Raw genomic sequence first — 16,895 nt, 5'->3', positions numbered from 1 at the left:
CAAGGCAGAAGGATTGCTTGAGCCCAGGAGTTCAAGACTGGGCAACATAGGGAGACCTCATCTTTAAAAAATAAAAATAAAAATACATTAGCTAAGCACAGTAATGCACACCTATAGTCCCAGCTACTCAGGAGGTTGAGATGGAAGGACTGTTTGAGCCCAGAAGGTCAAGGCTGCAGTAAGCCATAGCACTTCAGCCTGGGCAACAGACTGAGACCCCATCCCAAAAAAAGAAAGAAAGCATTTAGGAAAAAAACACCCTAACTCAACTTTGAGAGAAACTTCTCCCATGGAACTGAGCATTAGAGAATAAACAGCACGCTCAGTACCCTCAGTGACACCTTTTAGTTTTAAAATTGTAGTAACAGTCTTCAAACATTCCCTCTCTGCTCAACTTCCCAGTTAAAAACTAAGGGCCTAATGCTAAATCTTACTTTAGAAAGACAGCTCTGAGACAGAAGTACCGAGTCTCCAGGTGCACTGCTTTCTAGTAACCTAACAGGACTCAAGAGTGGCAGCATAATGAGGATTTAACAATTGGCCCTCTGGCTAATCTGCAGGCTGTGAATTATCTCCATTGATTGTCCACAGTCAGTTACAGACAGAACTTCTTGTTCTTCTCTTTCCCTCTTCTATTACACTAGACTAGTCTTTAAAAAAAATTATAATAATAATGGCCCGGCGTGGTGGCTCATGTCTAATTCCAGCACTTTTGGAGGCCGAGGCAGGCAGATCACCTGAGGTCAGGAGTTCAAGACCAGCCTGACCAACATGATGAAACCCCGTCTCTACTAAAAATACAAAAATTAGCCAGGCGCAGTGACATGCGCCTGTAATTCCAGCTACTTGGGAGGCTGAGGCAGGAGAATCGCTTGAACCCGCGAGATGGAGGTTGCGGTGAGTGGAGATCACACTCCAGCCTGGGCGACAGAGTGGGACTCCGTCTCAAAAAAAAAAAAAAGCCCTCTGGAATATAAACTATCTCATCTAAAATCAGTAAGACAATTCAAAATTGAGACCCTGACAGTCCCCGAGAAACAGCTGTCCATGAGGCTTAAGGACTGAAAGGACAGTGTTTCTAGACAAACGCAAAACACCTGAGTGCTGCGCCTGTGCCCACTCCTCACACCATGCAATGCTTCGCCAGGCAGGCAGTGTTCCCTATGCAATTTTAACCTGTTTTACAGTAATCACTTCAATTAATTAAGGCTACTTTCAATTCTGTCTTCCTGGTCATTAGAAGCATTTCTCAGTTTAACGTCAAGAAACATTTTCAGTTTAATGTTATCTACAAACCTTATCAGCACCAACGTCATTACTAATAATGGCACTGAAGGCTTTCAGCTGTGACCAAGTCATAACATTTAGCTTAGGAAGAAAAGGACAGAAATAGGGTAGGCTTACAGTGTTTCTCAAGTGTAATGTGCAAATAAGCTCCTGCAGATCTTGTTAGACTACAGGACCTGGTTCTGTAGGCCTGGGAGGGGCTGAGATTTTGCAGTTCTAACAAGCCCCAAGTATTGGCAATGACGCTGGTCATGGACCACAATTTGAGTAGCAAGGGACTAGAGGGTGCCTATTACTCTTTAATTCTGCTGTATCTGGTTCTGTGTGAGCACAGCAAAAGGAAAACTAACAGCCTAGAATATTGATGAATCAAATCCTGCCAATTCCCAATTTGTGTGAAAGGGTTCCTTCATTTATATGACAACAGTGTGAAACTAAGAATGCATTTTGTCATAGAAAGAATAAGAGATTACCTGAGGTGGAATTAACTAATCTGCCTGGAAGGAAACACAAAAAAACAATGGCGGGTGGGGGAAGAGATGAGAGAAAAAAAGCAGGCAGCGGTATGGAGGAGGCTGTGGAGAGCCAGTGCCCTGCTCGGGCCCCAGTCTGGCACCTGCCGCCATGTGTGGGCATTTAGGGAGCCCTTAGGGTAGACCGCAGAGAGAGCGACCAAGCTGCTATGTTTGCAAGGGCGATGTTTATAACTGAGGAGTGCCTATCATCCTCACACAGTGAGCAGTAAATGAGGAGAGAAGATGCCTACCAAGACAAAGGATCAAAGCAGAGGCTTAGAATTGGTATGTAAGAGAAAACCTCTCCACACCACAGGGTTCCTAGGATTAAACAGGATAGACTAGGATATTTTCCTTAATGCAATGGAAATGAGCACTGTCCTTATAATCTAAGACATAGAGCCTCATCCACACTCTGCCTCTCATGTTCTGCAACTTTGGGAGGACACCTAAAGACTGCCTTCACTTTCTTCATCTGTAAAAGGAAGATAATTAGGACCCGCTTCACACAGTTACTGTGAGGATTAAAACAGATAATACATATAGTACTGACATATAGGAAGCTTTTAATAAATAGGAGCTATTGTATTTTTCTCCACTGCTTTCTCACAAAGCAGTGACAAAGGCTATCTCTGTAGTTCCATTCCTACTATAATAACCCCTAAGTCAGTGATACTTTTTCAGTCCCCTCTCAGAGTTTGCTGCTATTTTTCTGACTCTGAAGCAAATTAGTATATACAGCAAAACCTTAAATATGCAGGCAAAATCTAACCATCATAAAAATAAAAGTTATTTTGGGCATCTATACAGAGTACATCCATCTGTATCATAGCCAGGTCCTGCAATAAAGCCAAGTATATACTCAACTGTTGGTAAATATCTGAAAGATGGAGGCAGTCTCATTAAGGAAACAGCTGGATATACCAGGAAACAACATGGATATGTGACATACTGATAAGGAGGGCAAAAACTAGCTTAACTATCATTGTGAATATATAAGTGCATGTGTGAATGTATACATACATATATATGTATGTGTATGTATACGTATATATGTGTATGTATGTATTGTGTGTGGGGGTGTGTATATATATAATTTTTTTTTTTTTTGAGACAGAATCTTGCTCTGTCGCCCAGGCTGGAGTGCAGTGGTGTGATCTCAGCTCACTGCAACCTCTGCCTCCCGGGTTCAAGCAATTCTCCTGCCTCAGCCTCCCAAGTAGCTGGGACTACAGGCACGTGCCACCACACCCAGCTAATTTTTGTATTTTTAGTAGAGACAGGGTTTCACCATGTTGGCCAGGATGGTCTTGGGCTCCTGACCTCGTGATCCACCCGCCTCGGCCTCCCAAAGTGCTGGGATGGAGGCCGAGGCGGGTGGGTGGATCACAAGGTCAGGAGCCACAGCATAAGCCACTAGGCCCAGCCACATATATAATCTTTAAGTTTGCTTCAAAATTCAGGCAGAAAGACTTGCCAAAGAGTTTAGAGTTCAGACTTCCTCCAGGATTTTTTTATATCCTTTAACATAGCACATTTATCTCCCTATATTCAAATGTCTTACCCACTTTAATTAGAAAAAGACTGACTACAAAGAAAACATAGAATCAATAACTGAACATCTAATTTTAAACTCTCATTGGACTCATCACCTCTTCCCTTCCAAGTCTCATGAGGGCCTGCTTTAGCAAAACTGACTCCATGTTTCTACATCCTGTGGTTTCTCATGCCCACTCTGAGAAGTGAAAAAAAACAGTTGAAAGGCAAGACATCAGAGAGGGAATGTTATAGGCCAACCTCCAGATAAGTGAGCTCTAAAACGCATTTATTTGGAAGTTTAAGGCATCCAATTTTTTTAAATACACCATTTCTGGTTTCTCCCAAATAACTGTATATATACAGCCTTCCCTGGGTAAAGATCTTTAAAATGCTGGCACTATTAATGTATACAAGGTCTCTGTCCTTGACTATTTGCCTGACTGCTAACTAGTTAGCGGTGGCCCTGGCCCTGCCCCTCATCCTCATGCTGCCCAGAGTCCCTCCAAATAGGTTGTAGGCTCAGTGCTCTCATCCCCCCATCTTTCTGCCCACTATGTATCTGCAGCCTTATAGGACCAAATCTATACTGGCACAAAAATATAAAATGATAAGGATAGCAACTTGAGCAGGGAAGGTGCATCAGGGAAACAGCCAGGCCTATGGGCAAGGCTGGCAGAAGAGCCAGCAATTCCTTTCTATCTGAAGAAGAAACCCGTTCTTCCAGGGCAGGCTGCAGGCGCTGTCAAGAACAGAGTGAAAGGAGGAAGAGACCCTTCTCTCCCTCTAGGCAAAACTTCAGGTCACCCATCTTGCAAAATCTAAGCTTGGTTTTTTTTTCTTAATCATTCCCACACTCGTGAAGATAACTGTGTTTACTATGTGGGGAAAATTTTTTATTTTCAAAATAAAATTATGGGAGGTAAGCTCAGCTCATCCACAGTTTTTGCAGAGTTCTTACTGGCCAATTTGGGAGAAGAGTTTCTCTGAGTTCATCACATGCTGCCATCCACTAGAGGACAGAAGCATGACTAAATGTAAACCTTGATAAAAGCTTTTTACAACTCAGAAAGGGAAACAAGGGTTTCTTCTCTCCACTCGTTCCCCTCCTCTGGTTTTTTTTTTTTTTTTTTTTTTTTTTAACTGAGTCATGCAAAGGAAATTTTAGGCACTGGCAGAACAGAGGTGGGGCATTATAGAGATCTGCCAGCTGTTTCCTTAAATAATGCAAATCTCCTTACAACGTGGCAAGACTTCAAACTGTTTTCACTAATTTCTCAGGGAAAAAAAAAAAGACAAAAGTAATCTGAAAGTGGGGGGGATGGAAAATTCCAAAAGCTACCCCATTAGTAATACTGAGTGACTGAAGGAATAAAACAATATAAACTCTAAAAAGAAAGTTTCCCCACCAGAATATTAATCTCCCAACCAAGTAAGTGACCTCAATTAAAGAGACACATTTGAGTTTAAAAAAACAAAAACAACAAAAAATGAGTTAGGAATTAAATGAAAATTCCAGCGTTATCATGGGTGTGGCCCTCAAGAAATTTACTTTCTTACATCCATGGAGTTTTGCCTTTTTACAAGCTTATGTTTTGCAATCATCCTGGCTATTTTCCCAGAAGAAAAAAAAAATTGGTGGAACAAGGGGAAGGATGTCTAAAATTTGGAAATCATCCTTGGTATCTTAACCAGGGAAAAGCTCTCAGGTCTCTTGTCTTGGGGAATATACTCCTGTACTAAAGCAGTCAAACAAAATTTCAACAAGTTTATGACAAATAGGAAGTCCAGCCTTTGGTGAGGTCGCTGTCAGGAGTTCTATAAACCTTGGGTGCTCTAAAGTTTATCTGAGCACACCCAGATGGGAGGGGGTGAGAGGAAATATAGACAGGATAGGACAAAAAGGTTTTTAATCCTTCACCTTGACAAGATGTCTTATTTTGAAAGTGTTTAATTTAGAATGTATATAATCACCAATAACTAGATTTGAAGTTCCATGAGCACAGGACAATATTTTACCCTTTTGTTGTAATCGTTGCCTCCCACAAGACCTAGCAAATGCTATATGTGATGGATGTCAAACTACTTTTATTGACTAAGAGAAAAATAATGTCCCAGCAGTTTGACAGGCGGCTAATGCCTCCTGAGACAAAATCAGTGGCTAGTAATCGAGAGTGGGATGGGAGAATTGTGTCTTCAAAATCACCTTGGAGATCACTTTCAAACTACTTATCCCCTGGCCCTCTAAGATCATGACACACCCACAAGGGTATGCCCACTTTTCCCTTCTAAACTAAGTGTGCCATTGTTTCTGATGGGTGTGTATCATATCTATTAGGTGTGTACCTTTGCAGGTTGGGGGGATGGATGGCTAATGATTTACAGCTTTTCACAATAGAACCTTCAGGGTGAGAGGAGGGGCAAGCACCTGGATCTGATGGGTGGGGGTGGGAACTGGGGCTTAACAGCTTTTACAGATCTCCATCTAATGCTCTTTTTTTCCCCCGCTCTATATATCCTACAGCCTTATGCAAGACCTAGAGCTTCCAAATCCTGAACTTTTCTGGAGTTTTATGGAGCTAACTGGCTCACTTACTGATATCCTCTTTGAGATCCTTAGAGTCCAGCTTCCTCTGCTTAGCCAGTCAGTGACTAAGCCAGTCAGCTTAGTCAGTGACTCCTTCCAAAGACATCTTGATGGCAATTAACTGCTGTGATCTCCTCTCCTATTCTCCTACCTTTGAGGTGCCTGTGTCTTTTTTATTTCATTATTTATTTTATTTCATTTTAGAGACATTTTGGAAAAACTAAAGGTACTTATGCGTTCAACCCGTCATGGTTTTTTTTGTGTTTTGTTTTGTTTTGAGACAAGAGTCTTGCTCTGCCACCCAGGCTGGAGTGCAGTGGCACGATCTTGGCTCACTGCAACCTCCGCCTCCTGGGTTCAAGCAATTCTCTGGCCTCAGCCTCCCGAGTGGCTGGTATTACAGGCGCCCACCACCACACCCGGCCAGTTTTTTGTATTTTTAGTAGAGATGGAATTTCACCATGTTGGCCAGGCTGGTCTCAACCTCCTGACCTCAGGTGATCCACCCACCTTGGCCACCGCACCCGGCCTCAACCCACCATGTTTTATAGAAGTCATTTTAATTGCTTGTACATCTTCTCTGCCAGATCACAAAAAAAACAAAATCACACAAATCTTACATATGCTCCCAGAATTTAGTGCAATCTAGGCCTATGGTAAATATTTTAATATTTGTTGAATAAATGAATCATTTTAAAAGTGTAGAAATCACAGAACTTTAAGCTTTCAAAGGATCTTCAGCTTTCTAGGTTCTTCTCTCTCCTGTATCTCTCCAATCTTCTAGTGGAACCATATTTAAAGCTCCAGATTAATAAATAATCTCCTTTTAAAAAATCCCTAGAGCAGTGGCTTTCATATTTTTCTGATTGCAACCCGGAATATAGAATACTTCTTACGTCACAATTTGCTAGATGCGCTCATATAGCTACTGAAAATAAATTTCATGCAACAATACTTACCCTTACCACATGGAATGTCCTCTAACATCTACTATTCTATTTTAGTTCACCTCCTAAAAAATGCTGGCCATGATTCACTAAACTGAATTCACAACCTACTAATGGGTGATCAGCTGCAGTTTGAAAAACTTTTCTATTCAACCTATCTCTCAAGCCGCAGCTTGGATATGGTGGCCTCAGGGGCAGCCTTCCCTGACTCCCTAATTAAGTCTACATGTCCCTCCTTTATGTTCTCATGGTATATGATCCTTCTACACTTTTTTGTGGTAGGCCTGGATCTGTAGGATAGGCAAGACATCTAGGGGATCAGAGACTTGAGCACATATGCCCACACAAAAACTTGTATGCACGCTCATAAGAGCATTACTCACATAGTGAGAAGGTGGAAACAACCCACAATCTATTAGTGAAGGAATAGATTAAAAAAAGATGTGGCCCGGCGGGGTGGCTCACTCCTGTAATCCCAGCACTTTGGGAGGCAGAGGCGGGTGGATCATGAGGTCAGGAGTTTAAGACCAGCCTGGCCAAGGAGGTGAAGCCCCACCTCTACTAAAAATACAAAAATTAGCCGGGTGCGGTGGCGTGCACCTGTAATCCCAACTACTCGAGAAGCTGAGACAGGAGAATCCCTTGAACCCAGGAGACGGAGCTTGCAGTGAGCCGAGATCGTGCCATTGCATTCTAGCCTGGGCAACAGAGCAAGATTCTGTCTCCAAAAAAAAAAAAAAAAAAAAGATGTGGTATATTCATACAGTGGAATATCATTCAACCATAATAAAAGAAGAATGAAGTTCTAACCCATGCTACAACATGGAAGAACTTTGAAAATATTATGCTAAATGACATAAGCCAGACATGAAGGCCACATATTATATAATTCCATTTATATAAAATATCTAGACTAGGCCGGTCCATAGAGACAGAAAGTAGACTAGCTGTTGCCAAGGGCTGAGAAGGATAGGTGGACTGGGGATAAGTGTTAAAGGGAAGAGGTTTCTTTTTGGGGTTAAAAAAAAAAAAAGGCTCAAAATTGATTCTGGTAATAGATGCACAACTCTGTGAATATACTAATAGCCACTGAATTGTACACTTTAAACAGGTGAAATGTATGGTATGTGAATTACTTTTTTTTTTTTTTTTTTTTTTGAGAGGGACTCTTGCTCTGTTACCCAAGCTGGAGTGCAGTGGCATGATCTGAGCTCATTGCAACCTCCACCTCCCAACTTCAAGTAATTTTCAAGTGCTGGGATTACAGATGTGAGCCACCACACCCAGCCTGAATTACATCTTTAATAAAGTTGTTTTAAGAGAGAGGCTAGGTGTGATGGCTCATGCCTGTAATCTCAGCACTTTAAGAGGCCTAGGCGGGAGGATCACTTGAGCCCAGGAGTTCATGACCAGCCTGGGCAACATAGTGAGACCCTGTCTCCATTTTCAAAATAAAAATTAAAACAGAGAAAAATCTAAGGGAGACCTGGAAATTGGACTAAGTTGCAGGAGGCAGGTGCAGAATTTATTTTACTTATCCCTGGCTTCTAGCACAAGGCTCATAGGCATGGCAAAGGCTCCATAAGTATTTGTTGAATTAATAGTTGATTCTATGACAATGAGTGGATGGGCTTTCTCAGTCATGTAAAGCTTCCACCTTGGGGTACTCCCATGTTAACCATTCAAAGAAGGAAAAATGAGCTTCCTTTTTTATTAAGTGAACTTCCACCTTCACTTAAAAGATATCCAATACTCCTGATGATTATAAACTGAAGGATTTTTTAAAGTAAGAAAAATATTATGTTTCCCTGTTTCACTGTTAAAAAAAAAAATGGCCGGAACAGTGGCTCACGCCTGTAATCCCAGCACTTTGGGAGGCCAAGGCAGGTGGATCACAAGGTCAGGAGTTCGAGACCAGCCTGGCCAACAAGGTGAAACCCCATCTCTATGAAAAATACAAAAAATTAACCAGGTGTGGTGGCACGCGCCTGTAGTCCCTGCTACTCGGGAGGCTGAGGCAGGAGAATCACTTGAATCTGGGAGTCAGAGGTTGCAGTAAGCCGAGATCGTGCCACTGCACTCCAGTCTGGGTGACAAAGGGAGACTCCATCTCAAAAAAAAAAAAAAAAAAAAAATGGTTGTACAATAGTCCTTCTCACGGAACCTCACATGAAATTCTATTAATAAGAGCTTTCTCAGGCACAGTGACAAAGGGGTGTTGTTGGAAACTGTGTTGCTCAAAGTTTTATCATACTCCACAGCTGACTACAAACTGATATTTTAAGCTTAATTCCTGCACAGAAAGTTTCAGCTCAGCTATAGACAACAGCAAGCCACCAAAAGAGACAAGAAATAAGGGCTAAGAGAAACTAAAAACACAAAAGCAATGCACTGTTATGTTTGTTAATAAAAGTAGAACTTTATATCCATGTGAAATATGTAGCCTAATCTGCACACAGCCATTTTTTAGCCTAAGCATAACTGGATGGCTACCTTGTTTAAAGTCTTATCAGTGCCATTTGAATGCCAACATCCACAGCCACCTGCCGTAACAACACTTGCTTGCTATAAATAAGTAGATAACATTCTCTCCCAAGAGGTAAAAATTCTGGTTATCTATTAAAAGCAAAACCAATAACCAAAATAACCCATCTTTTAGCTATCCCTCATTTATCAAAAAAGAGGCTTACACTTCAGATTTAGATGCCTGCAGAGTGGTCCCCCAAAAAAGCAGTATCTAAACAAAATAAAGACTAACACGGCACAGAACTACTCTAACAATAGCGATTCTCTTCCCACAATATTTCAGATCCCAGTGGAAGCCTTTCCCCAATGTCTAAATACATCTCTGTTTACTTCCTACATCTAACATTTATTTTTAACAGTGGGAATACTTTTCATTCCATAACCAAGAGAAATTAACAAATAATGTCAGATCTTAACTTTAGCAAAACAAAACCTGGAAATAATTCCAATGTGCTTCTTGTAAATGGATCTCTTTTTTAAAAATAATACTTTAGAATATGTTGCACATCTAATCAATTTATCAACAAACATTTATTGAGTACAAGGTACAAAAAAGGTGGACAAAGATGGAGAACTGCAGATCAGGTCAAGGAATTTCTAATAGAGTAGGAAACACACACAGGTATCCAAACAACAGACATTCAGGAAACACGAATAATAAGTTCCATGACATAATGTAAGTATATAAAGTGCTAACAAATACAGTCTGTTCACTTTTCTAATTTAAAGTTCCAAAAGGCTGATAAATATTTGTAAACACTCTTACAAGCACAGGTATTACTGCCCAGTTTCAAAAGGACCAGGGCGACCGGGCGCGGTGGCTCACAGCTGTAATCCCAGCACTTTGGGAGACCAAGGCAGGCGGATCACCTGAGGTCAGGAGTTCGAGACCAGCCTGGCCAACATGGTGAAAACCTGTCTCTACTAAAAATACAAAAAAATTAGCCAGGCGTGGTGGCAGGCGCCTGTAAGCCAAGCTACTCCAGAGGCTGAGGCAGGAGAATCACTTGAACTGGGGAGGCAGAGGTTGCAGTGAGCCGAGATCGTGCCAGTGCATTCCAGCCCAGGCGACAAGAATGAGACTCGTCAAAAAAAAAAAAAAAAAAAGCCAAGGCACTGCAGGAAACAGGTGGTTAAACACAGAACTGCCATATGATCCAGTAATTCCACTCCTAGGTATATACTCAAAAGAACTGAAAGAAGGAACTCAGATACAGCAATGTTCAGCCATACAGTAATGTTCACAATAGTATTCACAGTAGCCAAAAAATAAAAACAATTCAAAGGTCCATTGAAGTATGAATGACTTTTTTAAAAATTGGTATATGCATACAACAGAATATTATTCAGCATTAAAAAGGAATGAACTTCTAGCACATGCTACAACATAGAGGAAACTTGAAAACATATGCTAAGTCAGCAGTCCCCAACCTTGTTGGCACCAAGGACTGGTTTCCTGGAAGACAACTTTTCAATAAAAGTGGGGGGGAGGAGAGATGGTTTCAGGATGAAAAAGTTCCACCTCAGATCATCGAGCATCAACTAGATTCTCATATGGAGCACACAGCCTACATCTCTTGAATGCACAGTTCACAACAGGGTTCTCGTAACTATGAGAATCTAATGCCACCGCTGATCTGACAGGAGGTAGAACTCAGGCGGTAATGCTCACTTACCTGCCGCTCACCTCCTGCTGTGTGACCCAGGTTCCTAAAAGGTCATGGAACAGTACCTATCCGCAGCCCTGGGGTTGGGGACCCTTCTGCTAAATGACACAAGCCAGACACAAAAGGCCACGTATTATATAATTGATTTATATAAAACATGCCAAATAGGGATATTTTCTGTTTCTATGGAAACAGAAAGTAGATTAGTGATTGTCAGGGGCGATGGGGAGGTGGAATGAGGACTCAGTGTTTGATACAGTTTCTGTTTGGGATGAAAAAGTTCTGGAAATGGATACGTTGCATAACATTGAGAATATACTTCATGCCGCTGAACATATATTTATTAATAGTGGTTAAAATGGTAAATTTTATGTTATGTATACTTAATGGCAATTATTTTAAAATGAAAAAAAGGATATTTTTAATGTCTGAGGCATATATTGGCTTGATGAACATGTCTTCAGTGGTAGAGACAGGCACAGGCCTCACTTTCCCCACCAGGCAGCCCTTAGGCTGGTAACCTATATATCAGCTACATATTTATAAAGGATGTCAGTTCTCTCCCAGTCCCCATAAGAGAAATGTTGTATTGCTTCATTTTGTGCACCATTAGCTAGCAGGGACCACTTACAAAAAACTTCAGAAGAAGAAATTATCAATAGTTTCCGTGTGATGAAACTCACTAAAATTTAAGGGTCTAAAAGCCATGGATGAGACAACAATTCTTAGAGCCGCAGACCATATTAGAGAAGGAAGAGTGTGAATTAACTGCCTCCTCAACTTGCTATTTGTTTTATCTGCTCAGCAATATCCATGTCAGTGCAATGACAGTATTTACAGGAAAACTTTACAATTCACCTGAAAGACAAACTAAAAAACCCGTGGATTGTCTTACCTTTTGAAACCCAAAGAAAGGAGGACTCTGAAAGGAGAAAACTCTTCATGTATTATTAACTGAAATAGCCATGCCCTTTTCTCCTAAAATTCTAAAAGCTCTACTTCCCACTTACTCTCACAATATTCCTGGAAAAAGGCTTTTTCAGCCCCACACTATTAACTAAAATTGCAGACCTAAGAACCTTTTAAAGTATTAGCACTAACCCTCAGGACTCCTGATTCTCAAGTTCCTAAAATTAGAATGGCTCTTTAAATGCCCGTGTATCTGCCCCCAAAGAGACAAGCAAACAAAGTCCAATGTCTTCTGCCACCAGGACAGCAGGAAGATAATTCTTCTCACAGTTATATTCAGAAATGCCAAAATCAAACCTTGCTAAACATGTTCAGAAAAGCTTCACATATCTCTACTGGAACTAAAAAGTAACAAACCCAGCCAGCAGCCAAAGGGACAGACCTCCTAATTGGATTTTAACCTCATCAAAATGATATCATGTACTCAATCCTAGGACATAGAACCAATCCAAACAGTCACTGAGGGACTCAACTATCCTTACCAAATGCTCTGCCTCATAATAGAAGTTTTAAGTTCTTGACAGTAAAACTGTGACATTCAATAAGCTCTAGCTAATACATCATTTGATATATGAGCAGGGAACATTGTAAATTTCAGAATCTTAGACCAAAGGAAGTATTTTCCTACTTGAATGTTCTATAGCAGGTGTCCCCAACCCCTGGGCTGTGGACCAGTACCAGTCTGTGGCCTGTTAGGAACCAGACCGCACAGCAGGAGGTGAGCGGCAGGTGACCAAACATTACCACCTGAGTTCTGCCTCCTGTCAGATCAGCCAAGGCATTTGATTCTCATAGGAGCGTGAACCCTACTGTGAACTGCACATGCGAGGGAAGCAGGCTGCACACTCCTTATGAGAATCTAATGCCTGATGATCTGAGGTGGAACAGTTTATCCCAAAACCATCCCCCTACCCACTCGGTCTGTGGAAAAATTGTCTTCCACAAAACTACTCCCTGGTACCAAAAAGGTTGGGGACGGCTGTTCTATAGGACATCCTAGTTAAGAGGGCAAGCAATCTATACTTGAACTTACCCAGCTGCAAGGAATTCAATTCCCCATCCTCTATCCCCACCCTCACAATAAGCACATTCTATGAGTGGACAGCTCTGTTAGGAAGATTATTCTGCGTTTCAAGCCAATCCTCAGCACCTGTAATTTTTATCAATTGTCCCAGTTCAGAACCATAGGTAATAAATCTACGTCTTCTTTTCTGTGATGTCCCCTCCCATGTGTGAGCACAGCTCAGCACCTGTGGGGGCAGCAGGCTCATAATATAAACTGCACACAATCAACAAGTGTAAATGATTTAAGGAAACTTTCCCAACCCCATTTCACAAGACTTTTAAAGCAGAGTGATCTGAAATTACCTTAAACATTTATAATGAGGAGACTAATCTTATCTGATTTGTTCTTCTCAAGTCAAACCCAATGATGAAGTTCCCTGGACAAAGGACTTCTCTGACTTTATTCCAGTCCATTCCCAAGTCACCAGCTTCTTCCTTTAAAACTTACGTGTCCTTTACAAACAGATAGTGCTGAATGATTGTTAAATGGAATGTTTTAGTAATCTTCCTAAAAGTAGGTTGGGTGATTATGTGTTGTTCACCCGTTATTTAACATATATTTCTCCAGTTGGCTAATTTGTACAGCGTTAAAGCAGATATGGCAAATTCTAAAACAGAGTCCCTTTGTGTAAAAGATAACACACTAAAATAACTTGTCAGCTTTTCTCCAAGTTCCCTGGAACACCAGTGTCCTGTGAGATGATAATTGGCGCTTCAAGAAATGTACATGTTAAGTATATGAATACCAAAGGTTCTAAGAACAGAGAAATGGAGAAACTTGTTTAAGTTTGGAAAATGAAGGGTCAAAGTCCTTGAGCACAGAGCACTTCTCACCCAGCACACCTATTCATATCTTGGGAACAGAGTCTGTTACTTCCCCAATTGAGGAAATAGGCTTAGAGCCACACAAGGCTTCTGATCTGTATGCTAAAAAGGGTTGCTCATGGAACCAATAGGAAATGAGATGCTTTTCTTAGTTTTTTACCCAACTGTAGAGGAAATGTTAGGTGACAGTTTTACTTTTAAAAAATAATAAAATAAAATCACGCATTATAATTTTATCACATGGAAGAAATGGAGTGTCATCACTGAAAGCCTAAGAAAACGAATCTTTTCATTCAATCAGCATAAACAACTCTCACAATGGAAAAAAAAAAAAAGGAGATGCCTATAACCAGCCAAAAGTTGAAAGTACATGCAATTTCTCTCTCATCTAAATGATGAGACCAAGCCTTCGCAAACAGAAAATAAATCACTCTCTCTAAAATGACGTGCAGAAAAGGAAACAAGAGAGGCAGCTCATTTGCACTGTAATTCACATTCCTGAGACAGTGGTACAAACACTACTCAGTACCACACAGGGAGACACGACACTCTTTCTCCTCAAGCATCTGTAATCTCCTGGGTTAGTCATTGAGTGTAGTGGGAAGCAGAACTCAGATGAACTAGTCAGAGAGCACTTAATGGCTCTCCAGACTGCACTAATCATCCTGACCAAAGTAGAGTTCAGTTCAAGTGCTGAGATGGGCGGCTGTTTGCAGTTGGCCATTCTCCCTCCCTCCCAGCATCGCTGTTATTGATCCCTGCATCGTGAACAAAGCTAAATTAAAGATGGGCTATGTCAGATAAGGCTGCTGAGTAAAGAGACTGGCTGGGCCCCTGAGGAAAGCAGCTCGGGCTTAAAATTTGTACTCAAGGCTGAGTGACTTACTGGGCAAATATTCTGTGTATATCACAAAGAGATTGCTTTTAGGGGTAGAGGTACTTAACATAAAAGTACAATAGGTAAACAGTCCTGGACTCTCGAGTAGTTTACAATCTCCTCAAGGATACTAGGTTGGAGAATAAGAGAATCCTGATTATGCTCTTGGTCAGGCCCCAAATCTTTTAAGCTGGCCTTGAAACCAAGCACTGGACCACATTCCCAGAATATATTACCCTAATGGAACTCAGCCAACCATCTGAGCAACAATGTAAAGTATTCTGTATCTTCACTCATTCCCCTCTGGATTGATTTGTGTCAGAGAATCCAGTGGATTTGCTGCATGGAGGTACTTGTATACTTTCCTTGGTTCTAATAGGAAAGACAGGAGGAAGAGGTGACTAGCAGGATAAGGGAGGCACTGACCAACTGGATAGGGTCAGTGCCGATCATTCAAAACAGAAAAACTTCTTTAGACTTACTGAATTTTCAGAAAATGATTTACAATGCTGATTTCAACACTCTATTCCATGTATTTTTAATGATTTTTTTAAGGCTTTTCAAACTCTTAGCATCTCCCTCAAAAGAAATAGTACCCAGAGGCTCTAACAGGAAATGTTAAGGAAAATGTTATTGGAGGCAAAGCAACACATCTCTGGAATAAATATGGTGAGCTGGCTTATTTGGTCTGATCTAAGGAAATGAATGAAGTAAGGCCTGAAGTTTTCTGAAGTACGCCCTATGCAGCTTTATTTTGGGAAAGTCAACCCATCAACAAGCTGAAAGTAACAGCTTCTATCTCCCATTCTCTCCTGTAATACAGACTTCAACTGCCCGTGAGAATCTCACATACAGAAAGTTTTTAAATAAAGAGGCAGAGGCTACCCAGGTGTTTCTGAGGCACAGCCAGGCTGAGAGTCACTGCTTCAACGAAGCAGCATGCCATGAAACCCACCTGCAACCCATCTGAAACCACTTGGTCTTCTAATATAGTTATATATTCAATGGGTTCATCCAGGCAACAAGGAATAGACATATTATGAAATTGCCTCAGTTAATGATGATTTAACATGAGGCTCCCTAGAGAAGCAAGCAAAATAGGGAAGTACAAAACAGGAACCCCTATGAGCAGCTGCCCAGTTGGGCCTTCTAGAAAACTAAAACATACTGTGCACATATTAGTTTAAGTACATTGACTCAACTTCGATTCTAAAAGTCACCCTTTCCAAAGCAGCCATCCTGTGCTCTGTCACCCAATTCCACCTCCTATTGTTCTTGTTACCACTGGCTCATTAAGAGCCTCTTCATCTCCTCATGGTTTCTGCTTAACTAAGGGCTTTTATTCCTCATGCCTTTTGCTGTCTTCCCATTTCTTTGTCTCTGTCTCAAACTCCCAAGAGGATCAATCTCTTCCCAATACATGCTGCTGGTTAGCCTATCGATGCGTACCTTGGGAGTCAGGCATAAGCATACCTAGTTCAAGCAGCTATGGCCACCAAACTGTGAAGTTGCATGCACCAAGCTTGGGGATACTAACAAAAGGAAATCCTGTAAAGAAAGCTGTGGACATGGCAGGCTCTTGCAGGGAAGCCAATATGACCAGCACACACTTAGCATGATCTGTCTGGTAAAAGTCATTTTCCTAAGCAGATTTCAAAGTTCTGTATATAGCAGGTTATACTTATTTCTCAATAAGGTTTATTCTATGGGTCTCTAACTGGAGCTAACTTAATTATCTAAGTAACTTAGTAATATACTTAGTTACCTAGTTACCTAAGTAACTAACCAAGTGTTTCTCAAACTTCAGTGTGCATCAAAATGACCTGAAGGGCTTGTTAAAACAGATCGCAGGGCTCCACTGCCAGAGTTTCTGATTTAGTAGGTCTAGATAGGTCTCCTATGCTTTGATTTTGCTTTTTTGTTTTGTTTGGTTTTGAGGAAAAGTTTCACTCTGTCACCCAGGCTGGAGTGCAGTAGCACGATCTCAGCCCACTGCAACCTCTACCTCCCGAGTTCAAGTGACTCTCATGCCTTAGCCTCCCAAATAGCTGGGATTACAAGTGTGTGCCTCCATATTTTAGCAGAGACAGGAGT

General features: G+C 41.2%; 1 protein-coding gene across 20 annotated transcripts in view, besides 2 other annotated features; it reads right to left on the bottom strand.

Annotated features, from left to right (window-relative positions):
* Positions 1-16,895, bottom strand: part of CARMIL1 (capping protein regulator and myosin 1 linker 1) — a 341,157-nt gene that overhangs the window by 303,146 nt on the left and 21,116 nt on the right. The window lies entirely within an intron of this gene.
* Positions 1,036-1,726: an enhancer, noted in NCBI's record as "H3K4me1 hESC enhancer chr6:25315887-25316577 (GRCh37/hg19 assembly coordinates)". NCBI's record gives its function as "activates a minimal SCP1, AML or CMV promoter by ChIP-STARR-seq in naive H9 embryonic stem cells {active_cell/tissue: H9 hESC(naive)}" and the evidence as "EXISTENCE:reporter gene assay evidence [ECO:0000049][PMID:30033119]".
* Positions 5,782-6,282: an enhancer, noted in NCBI's record as "H3K4me1 hESC enhancer chr6:25311331-25311831 (GRCh37/hg19 assembly coordinates)". NCBI's record gives its function as "activates a minimal SCP1, AML or CMV promoter by ChIP-STARR-seq in naive H9 embryonic stem cells {active_cell/tissue: H9 hESC(naive)}" and the evidence as "EXISTENCE:reporter gene assay evidence [ECO:0000049][PMID:30033119]".

This window comes from Homo sapiens, chromosome 6 (genome assembly GCF_000001405.40).
Source record: "Homo sapiens chromosome 6, GRCh38.p14 Primary Assembly".
Classification (NCBI taxonomy): domain Eukaryota; kingdom Metazoa; phylum Chordata; class Mammalia; order Primates; family Hominidae; genus Homo; species Homo sapiens.
Note: the sequence above shows the minus strand (reverse complement) of the source record. Positions and strands in the feature narration are given on the sequence as shown.